This window comes from Homo sapiens, chromosome 8 (assembly GCF_000001405.40).
Source record: "Homo sapiens chromosome 8, GRCh38.p14 Primary Assembly".
Lineage (NCBI taxonomy): Eukaryota > Metazoa > Chordata > Mammalia > Primates > Hominidae > Homo > Homo sapiens.
Genome location: NC_000008.11, coordinates 130,978,297 through 130,993,294, shown reverse-complemented (window position 1 = coordinate 130,993,294; position 14,998 = coordinate 130,978,297). Strand labels below are relative to the sequence as shown.

At 38.5% G+C, this 14,998-nt stretch overlaps 1 protein-coding gene across 5 annotated transcripts in view; it reads left to right on the top strand.

The window, feature by feature from the left end:
* Nucleotides 1-14,998, top strand: part of ADCY8 (adenylate cyclase 8) — a 260,609-nt gene that overhangs the window by 47,615 nt on the left and 197,996 nt on the right. For all 5 annotated transcript variants that reach the window (XM_017013006.2, XM_006716501.4, XM_005250769.4 and 2 more), the window contains exon 2: nucleotides 2,753-2,902. In XM_017013006.2, the coding sequence (XP_016868495.1) occupies nucleotides 2,753-2,902 (150 nt within the window). The remainder of the gene's footprint in view (nucleotides 1-2,752; nucleotides 2,903-14,998) is intronic.

The window sequence follows — 14,998 nt, the reverse complement described above, 5'->3', positions numbered from 1 at the left end:
GGCTGTGCTATTAAATGTGTAGATGTTCAGAATTTTTATGTATTTCTGATGTATTAAACCCTTTATTATTGTATAGTGACCCTACTTATCTCTAGTAATGCCCTTTTCAAAAAATTATCTTTAGTCTGGCATTTATACAACAAAGCCAGCTTTATTTTGTTTTCACTTCCAAATTTTTATATCAATATATTTTAGGACTATATTTTACAAATAGGACATATAATATTTCTTTTTATCTAATGTGAAAATCTTTATCATAACTGAAGAATATGTCTCCTATATGTAACATTTTTATCTGACTGTTTTCAAGATTTTGTTTTTTTAGCATTTGGATTATGATGTGCCCAGGAATAGTTTTGTTCACAGTTAACCTATGTAGGGTTTGCTAAGATTATTGAACGTGTAAATATGTATCTTTATAAAATTTATAAGAATTGCATTATATCTTTAAACAAATTAGTTTAGCCCCATTCTCTCCTTCCTTTCCTTCTGAGAATCCAATTATATGTATGTTAGGCCCTTCAATGTTGTCACACGAACTACTAAAACCTTTTCATAAATCATTTAAAAATTTTTTTTTGGCTGTCCGTGGTGGCTCACACATGTAATCCCAGCACTTTGGGAGGCCCAGGCAGGCAGATCACCTGAGGTCAGGATGTCAAGACCAGCCTGGCCAACATAGGAAAATCTCATCTCTACTAAAAATACAAAAATTAGCCACATGCGGTGGTAAACACCTGTAATCCCAGCTACTCGGGAGGCTGAGGCAGGAGAATTGCTTGAATCTGGGAGGCAGAGGTTGCAGTGAGCCAAGATTGTGCTACTGCACTCCTGCCTGGGTGACAGAGTGAGACCCTATCTCAAATATATATATATATATATATATATATATATATATATATATATATATATGCCAGATACAGTTGCTCATGTATGTAATCCCAGCACTTTCAGAGGTCAAGGTGGATAGATCACTTGAGGTCAGGAGTTTGAGACCTACCAGCCTGGCCAACATGGTGAAACCCCATCTCTACTAAAAATACAAAAATTAGCTGGGCATGGTAGTACACACCTGTAATCCCAGCTACTCAGGAGGCTGAGGCAGGAGAATCACTTGAACCCCAGAGGCAGAGGTTGCAGTGAACCAGTATCACACTACTGCACTCCAGCCTGGGTGATGGAGTGAGACTCCATTCAAAAAAGTATATAAAATATATTTTTATTTATTAATATATATTATTAAATAATTATTAGTAATTTTTTCAAAATGGTTATATTCTATTGGCCTATTTCCAAATTTACTGATTCTTCCGTCATCTATGTTCTGCTGTTAATATCCAGTTGGTTCAGATATTTTCTTTTTCAGTTCTGAAATTTTCCTTTTTTGAGGTTTCTATTTCTTTTCTTATTTCTTATCTTTTCATTCACTGCTAAAATATTTACTTTCAGTGAATTTCATTCACTGCTAGAATGTCACTGAGCAAAGTTGTAAGAACTATTATAATCTCGACCTGCTGATTCCAACATCTGGGTCAGATTAGAATAGATGTCTGTTGACTATCTTTTCTCTTGAGATTGAGTCACATTTTAATGTTTATTTTTATGTCACATAATTCTGTGCTATGTTCTGGGCATTGTGAATGCTCTATGGTTAAGACTGAATTATCTTACATTCCCCTGGAAATAGTGATTTTTGTTTTGTTCCGTTTCACTTTAGCAGGTAATTAACTTGATTGAAATCAAAAGAAAGTCTGTCTTTTGGACTGCAGTTCAAATATCAGTTCAGTTATTTTATCCTTAACTCAATTGCTTACTGTCTTCCCTATGCATATGTGGTTCAGATAAGAGGTTATAAAACAATTTTAGGTTTTCTTTCACCGGGTTCTTTTCTTTTTGGAATTCTCCTCCCACCTTCTGGAAGCTACAGTGGTCTGGAACTCTGTTCTTTGCTTCTTTAAGCCACCTGCATTTTCTACTGGAGTTATAGCTACCACACACTGCATGAGCTGTGACCTGTTCTCAGGCTAAAGCCATGAAAATAAAGAAATTCATACTTTGTGTATGAAATTATTCCATGTGTTGACCCCTTTTCAAGAATCTGTCTACTTTTCTTGACTGAACAGTAGTTAGAAGGGGGGCAAATGAAAAAGTAGGAAGCCCAATTTAAGAGTCCAGGAAGCATATTTTGATGCCTAGAAATAGAATAATGGAAGTGGAGATGAAAAGCAATAGAAAAACGTGTTTCTTTTCTTGAGTTAGAAACAAGACTTGGATTCTATCCAAGAAGACCCGAGAACACCAGAGTCTAAATATAGTAGTCAATGTATTCGAAGGCAAAGGTATTCAATGGATTCCTTTCCTGTTTCTTATTAGTCTCTTCTTTTTATTCCCACCAGATTCTCCAGCCCCTTAAAAGCCAGAGGCTTTTGCTGGTGAAGGGGAGACAGATAAGGTGGAGTGAAGAAGCCAACCAGATTCCCTCTTTTTCACAGCAGGTTTCCCATGAAGACTCCAGTCTAAACCTGGGGAGAAAGAAGCCTTAAATTGGAGAAAGTGGTGAAAGAAGCCCTCTCCAAAGGGATGACATTTGCCTCAAGATCTGAATGAAGGGCATAGCTCTACAAACATGCGATTAAACATATGGATTACTACATTAGGATTTACCTTGGAAATTCATATTTATTTGTGTATTTTATTGTTGCTTGTAAATAGCTTTTGTTTTAAGCGCCTGACCAGACTGTGTTTATTTTAGGTTGTGGCCCAGGCAGTGCTATTCATGTGTATGAACACAGCTGGAATCTTCATCAGTTACCTGTCAGACCGGGCCCAGCGCCAAGCTTTCCTGGAGACTCGGAGGTGTGTGGAGGCCAGGCTGCGCCTGGAGACAGAGAACCAAAGACAGGTACCAACTGACAAGGCTGTGTGTTTTAGTTATCACCTAGCCAGTCTCTAAATTATATGGAGCTACTGTTTTACTCCCAAACACGTCCTGACTTAAAAGTGTTCTCTTAAAGTTTATGTCACAGGATTCCAGAGTCTGAAATAGTTGTGTTAGACTTACAGGTCAAAATGGGTTGGTCTTATTCTCCACACTCAATTCATCGTTCCCCATAAGAAATAAAGAGGTTACAGTCACAAATTTATTTTCTGACACCTTTCACTGACATCTGTGTTTGTGAACAAGGTCATGATTCCTCAAAATCATCGGCATGCCTATCTTTGACCCTCTTTCTTTTAAACTGTAAATGTGTTATTTCAGACATTTTTTTTCTGTTTACCAATTCAAATTAGAGTAAGCGCATGGAAGAATCTTACACATGTCTAGTCTCTAAAACCACAACCTGATTTTTAGAAGAGATGTACACAAAAAAGTCCTGTCGACATGATGCCAACATCAAAATAAGGGATACAGTAGGAAAAGAAGTTGGATTGCAGGGGGCAATAATGTGTTCCAATTTGGAGAGGTTAAGATAAAAGAATTTTTTGGACATCCTGATTGGGTGGATGTTATAAGAACTTAAAAGTAGCTTTGGCCTCAAATAATATATTTCTCCAAAATTAAATTTACTTTCAAAGAATAAAGATTTGTCCCTATTAAAGATATTTATATATTTTAAGTCCATGAATACCTTTGTTCTGAACACAATTTTCCAGGAGGAATATCAAGTATGTGTTGAAAACTGATTTTAGCATCAACTTGTAGCATCCTAAGTATATATGCTCTTGGAAATTTTATGCTTGTAGATATATTATCTCTACAATCCTAGACCTTTTTTTAACTAAGCCCTTTTTCTTAAAGTTATGTCTTATTATTTATAATACAGCACATTTCTTATTTAAGACTTTAGGCAATAATAGTTTGCAAAAATCATAAAGAAAGTAGCAGAGAAAGACTCAACATTTTCTTCATGATTAATTTGCATCAAATCACCAGGAAGTCAGGGATCTTTGAAGTAAGTGAAGCCAGGTCCGTGTGACTCTAATGGATGAGACAGACAGGTAGGGCCTACCTGACAGGACTGAACTCCCACTGCCATCTGCTGTCTCCCAGGGCAGAGGAAACTACTGAGTTTTCAGATCTTACTTTGACTTTACAAAATTCAGAATAAGGAATTTCTATGTTATTGCCTAAAATAATTCTGGAACCTCATAGTAGTTTCTCTGAATAGCCCTTGGAATAATTAAGAAAAATAACTTTAAGAAAGAAGACACCTTGTACAATAAACATGAGTATCTCCCAGGACTACTGTATTATGTTCGTGTGCAAAACAGATCAGTTGCCAGACTGGCATGTCACTCTTTCCATGGGATCTGTGCCAATTCAGAGAATGCTGCCATATTAATAATTTATTCAACTGTTCTTAATGCTTTGTCACAACAAGAGCTGAAATTGTGGGTGAGTTGTATGGGATGCCTCTTATTTCGTGTTTATGATATATTGGAGACACTAAAAAATATTGCCTTACCATCTCCATAAGACTTTTTGCTTCTTTTCTCATCCTTCAAGCTGGGTGTCTTGGAATCACTGTGATCTAATAATCTAAAATTGTGGAGGAATCATCCACCATTCTCTCTAATCTTTATTTTTTTTAAGTTTGCAGAAGGAGGAAGAAAATAATAATATACAGAGGTAAGAGAAAGTGACAACTAGAATTTAGTGAAAAGACCACTAGAGTTTGGGTCATGGCTCTTATTACTTCCTAGTTGGGCCACCTAAGCTACTTAACTTTCCACCATAGGTTCCTTTTTTATACATGGGCCAATATCTTTCTCTTCTGCATTATATTTGCCTCAAATGAGATACTATGTAGAAAGCAATACAAACATATAAGTCAGTTTCATTGATTTCTTGGATAAAATACAAGAAAAGGCTATCTTTTGTGGAAGGTTCTTTGTTCCTAGGATTAAGTAAAATACTGTGTAGGCTTCTTTTAGTCCTGTGTTCACAACTATGATAAGAAGTTTGTGGCATGTTGACCACCCTTTATTTACCCAAGGGTATTGTCTGAGATAGCTGACTCCACATCATCAGTGCTAAAGTTACTTTCCACTGGCATCTGATCTCTGCTTCAGGTTTCCATTATCCTTGAGAACTTCCTCAGTAATAGACGGACAGTGTAGTCTGGCAGAAAAAACATAGGCTTTCAAATGAGATTGCCCTGGATTAGTAATTTTTACTTACTTACTATTTTAGTGAGCTTGAGCAAGCTCTGAGTCTTAGTTTGCCCATCAATGGCATGGGAATAATAACATCCTTCCTGAAAAGTCTCCTTAATGGTTAGAATTACTTTGTGTGAGATGCCCTTGCAAGTCAGTGAAGAGTTTCTATTAGCATTATTGTGTGTAATGATTTATATGAATCAGTCAACATAGTTCAGTCCCAAGAGGACTCATGTGAGAATTTATTATGGATTGACTTGGCTCAGTTGTAATAACTTAGGGTTATTTATATGGAGGTAAATCAGGATGATGGCTCTCCTTAAGTGCATAGCAACCAGAATCATCGTTAGGTCCCATTCATATCTTTTAAAATATCATGTGTCATTGACAAATGAATTCCCATTTTCCTCTTATCAGAACTAATTATAATGCCATAATTGTTAAAAATTCTATACCCTGTGAAGGAGATGCTGTAAGAACCTAAGCGACAGCAGATACCTTTTCCTTGGATAATGATCCTAAATAAGATTGATAGTAATATTTTGCAATTATAAATTAAGAATCAAATAGGTTATATTCAACAGAAATGACTGGGTTTTGTGGGATTTTTCAAGCACTCATGATTTTTATCTCATGGTAGGATACAAAAAAAAATAATTATTTAATTTGTTCAACCGTGAATTAATTTCTTTATGGAGGGTTTATTATGTGTCAGGAGCTCTGCTGAGCAATGGGAATATAATGCTGACTAGCAATCAGATCCTGGCCTTAAAGAGTTTACCAGGTGTAGAAGAAGCTGAATGACTACACAGACATGTATGGCAATAGTGTATGGGTCAAACCTAACCTGGAGGCTTGCAGAAGGCTATCGAAAAAAAATTTTACCTGAGCTGACATGTGAATAGGATTCAGCTCAGTGGAGAAGCAGTAAAGGGTACACCATAAAGAGCAAAAAACACATGCAAAAATCTTAAAGGAAGAGAGAAAGTGGTTTGTCAGAAGGATTTATGAGAATTCCCATGATCATTCATTCATTTATTCATCTATCTATTCACCCATTCATTCTGTAGAGAGAGAGCCCAATAAGACTGTCTTTACTCTGAATTGGACCTGGAGGATGAGTATGACTTTAATTATTAGAAGAGAGGGAAGAAAGAAATTAGCAAAGATACCGATGACAAGATACGTATGACCTATTAAAGGACAGCAATGCTGGACACTAGGTTTTCTCTGATATCCTGCAGCAAATTGTGAACCTCTTAAGTGGAATATTACTGCTTTCCATTCAATAACAGATATATATTTCCTGAGTGTTAACTATGCACCAGGCATTATTCAAAGTGCTGTGTACACCAAAGTGAAGAAATTCTTTGACAGATCTGTGTTAACAGCATGCCACACTGGATCTCAATCATTGCATGTCTCTTTCCCCAAACTGCTATTTCACCAGCCTGTGCCATGTATTAATAGTTCTGGGAAATCCACCTCCCTCCTAATGTGTCTCTACTCTTCTGCCTCAGCATTCCTTTCTCCAGGAGGCTTGCTTTTGTCTCCCAGGTAGAGTTGAAATTGTTTTCTTGTACTCGCTGCATGTCATGATAGTTAAGTCTATTAAAGAATGCATCCCACTTTATTACATATACTACTCTGTGCTTCTCTCTCTCTCCACAATCTCTAAAGACTAGTTAAAGGCAGCTACTCTACATAATTCAATGGAGTCTCTGGTTTTTATCTAGCATAGTGGCTGAAATGTAGGATCTTCTGAGTAATATTTATTTAACTAGTTCTATTGAATTCAAACTTTGGCTCCTAGCTTCACTTCTACCTATATGAATATTAAAATAACTCCTTTGCGTAAAAATAAAGATACCTGTGCCCATTGTGCCCTCCATTAGAAAACTAAGTGGGAAGAGCACTTTTACCCAATTCAGGAGAGACTGGGACAGGCTAAGCATACATCTTAAGCTGACTTGTTAGGGGAATTTTCCATCTGGAAGCTACATCTTGAAGCATCTTTCTTTAGGGAGTTAGATTCTAATTTAGTAGTTTTCATAATTCTGCTGCTTCTCCCAAATGATGCAAATGGCCCATATTTATTTTAAATATTAAAATGAATTAATTGTTTTTCTTGCAGCTTGGAGAATTGTATAAACCTCCTTATGGTAATCATGGCATTTCGAGGTGTCTCAGAAGCTCTGGGGGCACTGGAATAAAGTTTCTGATGATACCATATGTTGCAGCAGCAGGAAGATTATTTTTAAATGCAGCAGATGTTTTAGCTGTATTAAAGCAATTCTGTTAAACTTAAATATCTTTGTTAGACAATACTGGTGTAAACTGGTGGTTCGGACAGTAGATTGAGAAAACTGGGTTTCCTACTGAGTTCTGAGTTGATTAGTTTGATTCATTTTGGTACCTTTTAACATCTTGGGGACTTTTTAAAGTTAAAAATAATATTGATTAGTACAGTAGAGCTTTGTCATTGTTAATTCATTCAGAGAATCAAGGTTGACCTAAAAGTGGTAGAACCTTGGAATCTTTATTCTTTCTGCTCCAACTAGATGGGTCTTCTCATTATACTCCAAAAACCTCTTACTTCCAAGTCATTTTCTGTTATTCTTCATTCCTTACATTCAAAGCCACCCACTGACCACCCATCATGTTCAGCCTTATCTGTTATCAACATCTTTCATATTCATTATTCTTTAGTTTATACTGAAATATTCACTGTTTCTTACACATTCTTCTTACCCTCTACACTCATGCCTTTGTTTACACCTTTTTCCCTACCTGGTGTAACTTTCCTTTCATCCCTGCACCTTATCAATCCTTCAAAACTCAGCTCAAATGTCACCTCCATGAGAGTTTCATTCATACATTTCTGTATGGAATTAATCTCTTTATATATTCTGCTATACCCTTGCCTTATTTTTGCCTCCTCGTATCCTTGATTTTCACAGCACTTGGCATTGCTGAGTCACCCCCCAACCCCCTTTCCTTGAAGCACTCTCCTCTCTTAATTTTACTAGGGGGAACTTGATTTTCTTTCCAGTCTTTCAGATTCCTGTTTCCTTCACATATCCCTCTTCCTCCTCCAAACACTTAAAGGTAGGCATCCTTCAAGGGCCTCTCCTTGACCCCTTCTTTTTTGTTCATGTCTTGGTTCTCTTTTGGTGCTGTATCATGGCTTCAACCTTCACTTCCGGATTGTTCCCACATCAGCATCTCTAACATTACATTCTTTTCTGAGATCCAGATGCCCACCACCAGCACCAGCTTGATAGCCTCATCAGCATGTCCCACATATATCACCAGCTCGGCCTGTTCATGATCCTCCCATTCCCCCAAAAAGTACTCCTCTTTCTCTGTGATACACGCTTGTACCTGATCCTTTCACATCAACCATGGTCCCTATCACTGTGGGTGCTATTTTCACCATATATGCACACATTTTTTTCTATATTTCCTTTACTAGCACTGCCTGGTTTAAGTCCTCTCACAAAATAGCTTTCTAATTGATGTTAACCAGTTACTAACCAGTGTATACTAATCTAGCCACCTGTAGTCACTCACCTTAACATTCTTCTTGAAAAATAAATCTATTTCCCTTTTCTCCACTTTCCTTACGATCTATGAAATTAAAAAAAAAAAAAAACTAAACAAACTTACTGAGCTCTGCAGGGCATGAAGCCAAAGCCACTGCTTTCTTTCACCTATTCTTGTCCTTCTCTAGCTGATGTTGAGATGGTGAGGCAGGAATCCATTGGTTTCTCTTTTCCAGAGAGCAGTATTCATATGTTAGAAGTCATTGTATATACATTCTCCAGACCTTTCTGTCGGGTAAGAATGTGCTTCCTCCCCACAGGCAGTCTACCCCACAGGGAGCCCACTCATGCAGTCTCCTCTCCTCCCCACAGGGAGCCCACTCATGCAGGCTCCTGTCCTCCCCACAGAGAGCCCACTCATGCAGTCTCCTCTGTCCCACACAGGGAGCCCGCCCATGCAAGCTCTTGTCCTCTTCACAGGGAGCCCACCCATGCAGGCTCCTGTCCCCTACCCCTGATAGGAAGCCCAGACATTCAGGCTGCTGTCCTCCCTGCAGGGATTCCACTGATGCAGTGAGCCCACAGTAGCCAGCTACTCTGCCTCTGGCTGAGGAACTGTGGCTATAGAGCAGAAAGAAAAAATAGGAAGCTCATGTCTGCTTCCTTTGCAGCCAAGTCTCCCATTCATTTGCCAATAATAAAGTGGCTGCTTTGATTGAATGATTTGATTTGGTCGATTCCTGTCTGTCTTCCATATCTATTTCTCAGTTGGTTCATTTGAGAAGGGAGGTGTATGACTAACTCACATCTCAAAACCCCAGCACAGAGTATTACACCTGTCAGGATCATCTTCTTAGTGCCTAATTTGGATTATATAAGACCTCACACTAAATGTGAGAAAGCCCCAGGATTGCTACTGCCCATAGAACCCACCCAATTTCATTTACCCTGCATCACAGCCCATTCACCACCTGTCCCCAGCGTGACATTCCAATCATGTCACTTGCTACCTCTCACTTTGTACTCCAACACTTCACACAGCCCAGCAAAGATGCCCCGCACGTCTATGCCTTGGATTTCTTGCTGGTCGTTCCCTATCTGTCTCCCTCCCTCTCTGCTTCTCTGCCATTCTCTCTGCCCCTGGAGTGTGGCCTTTATGGATCTCATCAACAGACTCATTACCCTCTGGCTTCTTGTTGGGTTCGGCCAATGGGAGGCACTGGATGTGAACTAGAGTGTGGGAGGACAGAGACGTCCATACATTTATCTTCCCATATCCTACCCTGCTGGATTGTAGATTTACAGTGGCTGCATTTATCTACCAAAAGCCACAGTTCCTATTAGGCAGCCCTCGCTTAGAGTAAAGGATTTGCCAGATTCCATGGGTGTTTGTAGCTGCCTGCCCTTCCTAACCTTGGGGTGCTTTACCATCCATTGTTGAGTACCTTAATTTTTCAGTAACTCTCTTTTATTATCCCTTTTGAGGTACCAGCTATGTCCTGCCAGGAAACTAAATGACATGCCACTATTGCTCCATTAGGATGAGATGTTCCACTCCCACTCTGCATATATTTGTGAGGCAGTTCAGCAGAGCAGAAAGACACTGGGCTAGAAGTCAGAAAATCTCTACTCTGTCCAGTATGGTACTAGCCCTCTGTGTATATTTAGCATCTGCAACGTGCCTGTTTTAAAATGAGACATGCTGTGCATGTACAATACACACCAGATGTTAAAGACAATCCAAAAAAAGAAGAAATGCAAAATATCTCATTAATGACTTTTTACAAACTAATTGAATGTTGATTATACATTGAAATGATATTTGGAATATATTTGGTTAACTAGAATATACAATTAACAATGAATTTCAACTGTTTCTGGCTAATTTTTTATGGAATTTTTAAATTATATATGTGGTTCACATTGTATTTCTATTGGACAGTATTGACCTAGATGCTTGTCCCATTTCTATTTCTAACTTGCTAGTGTGACTCTGAGCAAGTTGTCAAACCATTTTGTATGTGAGTTTCCTCATCTCTCAATTAGAAATGATAATTCCTTCCCTAACCCACAGGAGTGTTTTGAGAGACAAATAACATAATGCCTGAAAAAGTGTTATTTCAGCTGTAAAGAATTCTACAAATGTTAGGGCTATTTCTGTGAAAATTTCACCAACGCCCCAATCTGATGCTCAGATGCCCCGCCCCCCTTATGAAGCATCCTCTAATGTTTCCTGTTGTAAGTTATTTCTTTCTTTTTGGCACTAAGACATTTTTGTTAACATGAGTTTATCACATTCTGTTTTATATCAGGGTTAGCACCATGCTTCCCTTCAATTGCCAGGAAGGTTTTGAGTGGCAAGCACAGTACCAGCGTTAATGGCCTCTGATCTCCCTGTAACAATTGACTTCATTCAAAGAACTGTGTTTACCCGATGTGGGTAGGACACCAGCTCTTGTGTTCCATCTGGCTGCCTGGTTCTTTGCAATCTTCCTAGCGCATTATTTGCATTTTCTGGCATGACGGAAGAAGTGAAGGCTTTGAAGAAAAACAAACCTGTATTTGATTCCTAGCTCTAAGTCTATATCTGGGTGACTGTGTGTACACCAACCTTAGATTCAACATCTGTCGAAGATAATAATCCCTAGATCTCAAGCTGGTTGTAAGAAAATCAAGCAGTATATAGAAAGCATCTGACCCATTGGCTGACATAGTGGGGCCTCAATAGATGAGAGCTGAGGGTCATGGCTGATCCTTGAACTGTTGGATCACCCAGGCCATATCCTAAGTTTCAAAGTAGAAGGTATTCTGATTCTAGTAACAACAGTTTTTCTTCTTGTTATTTGTGTTCTTATTCAAATTTGGCATCCACAAGCAATACAAATTTTTAATGCTACCCTTGATTCAAAGACAGTTCATGACCCTATGCTCATGTGCAATTATAATTTGCATACTGAGGCCATCCAGAAAGCAGAAATCAATCACCATCAGGGACCTCAACACCTTTGATCCAGCCTGGAGGAGCTGCAGGAGCCACTGAAGAACTCTGTGGGGGCTTTTTATCTTGAAAGTCTGTGCAGATAATTTTGACTAAAGAAATTGAAATTGGAAACCTAATATAGCCTAACTATAAAATGCTGAAGAGAAGACATGCTCTGTTGCCTTGATACAGTTGAAGGCACTTTTCAAGAGTGGCAGTAAAATAGAGCAGGAGAAAAATAAAATAAGTATTTTTTAAATAACCCATGCCTAAAATAGCTTATTTTAGTGGGACTTGAGTATGGGTCAGTTGACCAGAATTCTACATTTACTATTTTGCATGAGTCACACCCAAAATAGATTGGCTATAAAAGAGGTAAAATAATTTAACGGCACTATCTCAGCTATCTTGGTGTAAAACCATCCTAGAATTTTTTTCCTTCTAATCTTTTGCAAATGTCTTGCCCACACCTCATTTGAAAGCAATGTTTTTAGAATGAAAGTTTTGAGTATAGTGTAGTATTCAACTCATTTTTCATAGAAACGAAAGCTTGCTTATCATGAACAGATTTGGAAACAAACATTACTGCCTCTTGGTAAAGAAAGATAGGACACAGCTAGCAGACGTGGGGGGTAGACTTGAAAGAACCAGCTAGCTATGAGTGTTTAGTGTATACTGTTGACAGCCTTTCACAGTAGATAGGCTAGTGAATCACTTAAGTGGGGTAGGGAGGCCACTGTGATGCAGTGCTATTCTGTAAATTATTTATGAAAAGTCCAAAATTCCAAGTTTATCTTTTAAAAACCTTGACACTACTCTTGATCGGCCATTGGAATCTAGAAAGTTGAGACAGAGGCTGAGAACTATGCCGTCAAAGCAAAAGGAAATCTGGCATAGGGCAAAACCATTATTTCATCCTTCATTTGCTCAACAAGTATTGATCTTTCCTTCCCAAAACATTTGCCCTTGCAGTATTTCCTATCTTAGTGAACAAACAGCACCACTTGTCCACCAACTCTTCAAGCTCACACTACCCGTCCTCTCCATTTTCCCTGACATGCAGTAATAATTATGAGCAGTTAATTCTCTTTCTCATCCATCTTTTTTCCACATTTTTTTCCAACGTTTCTAACCCTACTTCCTTCTCCATTTCTCTCCTGCATCACTGTAACAACCCTTTGGTTCCCTGCAATTCATTCTCCAGGCTGCAGCCAGAGTGATCCTTCTAAAATCTAAAACTAGTTAGGTCATCTCTATGACTTCTGTACTGGGTTGAATAGTGTCCCCCTAAAATGCATGTTCCCCCGAACCTCAAAATGTGATCTTACTTGGAAATAGGATCTTTACAGATTTATTCAAGATGCAATCACACTTGATTAGGGTGGGCCTTAATTCAATATCACTGGTATCCTTATAAGAAGAGAACACAGAGAATCCCAGAGGCAGGAGCAGGAAACGCACAAAAGAGCACCACATGAAGACAGAGGCAGAGGTTGGAGCGAGGCATCTGCAAGGACTGCTGGCAGCCACAAGAAGCCAGGAGAGTGACATGGGACAGTTTCTCCATCAGGGCCCCAGAAAAAAATCCAACCCTGACAATACCTTCCTTTCAGACTTCTGACCTCCAAAACTGTAGGAGAATACATTTCTATTGTTTTAAACCACCAAATTGTGTGGTAATTTTTTATGCCAGCTTAGGATACTAATACAACTTCCTATTGCTGTTAGAATGAAGTCAGACCCATTTCTTACCTCTCTCCCCTCCTTAAACATTGCCTGGATGGAAGTAACAGTGACTGGCTCTGATATAGCATTTACTATGTGTGAGGTTCTGTACTTCACATAGATTACTTCATTCAATCCTCAGATAAATCCTATGAAGTGGGTGAATTTTTTACCTCCATTTTATAGATGAGGAATTTGAAAAACATAGAGGCTAAATAACAGCTAGTAAGTTGTACACCTGGTACTCAGACCTAAACAGTCTTCTCCAGAGCCCATATAACCAATTATTATGCTACGATGTCCTTCAACATGGGATGCTCTTCACAATCTACCCCTCTCTCCACTGGGAGGGCCCTAGCCCTCCCTTCCACATGGGCACGCTCCTTTAGCCTCAAATGACAGGAAACTCAACTCATATTGGTTCTAGCAATAAGAAGAACATATTGCCTCATGTTACTGAATATCCAGGGGCAGGTGTACAATTGTCACAACAGGACTGTAATGTGATCAACAGGAATACACATAGTGATGTGGGGAAATCAGATGAGTTGTCTTAATATAGGGAAAAGATATAGTTCAACACACACTAAAGCTACCCAGAGGAAAAGACCCAGTAGCCCATGAAGGTGCCAGCTTCCAATGAAGGCTCCCACCCACAGTGATATGTCCTGACTAGACTGAGGATAGTGCGTTCTTCAGGGAGCTCCCTTTGCCCTTCTCACATGGGATTTTATGCTCTTGTAGCTCTTCCAAAGTATTCTAAAGGCTCCAGCTTTCTCCTTTCCTACCCACCAAGTATGAGAAAACTGCTAATAATCATAGAACATTACTTATTCCATGGTAGACTGTCTTCCGCCCCAACCAGCATTAGACCTAAGTTCTATTTCTAAGCAGGCTTCAGGCACAGCTTGGTCCAGGGGCCATCTAGTACGCTTGTTTGATCACTTCATTATTCAGGACTCAGCAAAGGCATTAAAATCCAATCAAAATTCTATACTAATTGACTTTTTTCTTAGAGTCTTCCACTCAAGAGTTCTCTTCAGAGCTTTGGTGATAGTCAAATACATCTTATCAAAATCTAATTAGGTTACTGCATTATAGAATACATACTGTGGACCAAGTCCTGAGTTAGGTGCCGGAATTAAAAACAAGAGGAGATTTTTAAATAGAATTTTTTTGTAACAAACTAGAGTTTGGTAAGCTTGGCAGTTTCCAACTTAGTCTTAGAGTTATATATGTCATGTCTTCATATCTCCTCTGCTGGATTACAAGTTCCTTGATCCATGGAGGAATTGTGATTTTCCCCCTATAATATCTATCCTGATATTTAAACATTCACTAACACTGTATCAAATGAGTAAAGTAATAATTAACTTAAGGAACATTTCCAATGAGCATTTCTCTTTCCCCAAATATGTGATTATTATCAACAGATATTGAAGAATCATTTTCTTCTCTCTTTAGTAAATTAGAGGCTAGTTTTTGATGAATTTTCATATCCAACAGAGAATGTTCTTGTTGAACTCTATAATCCATTAACTCTTCTTTCTTCATTCTCACTGTCCAACTGAATTTGCAATTTAGATTT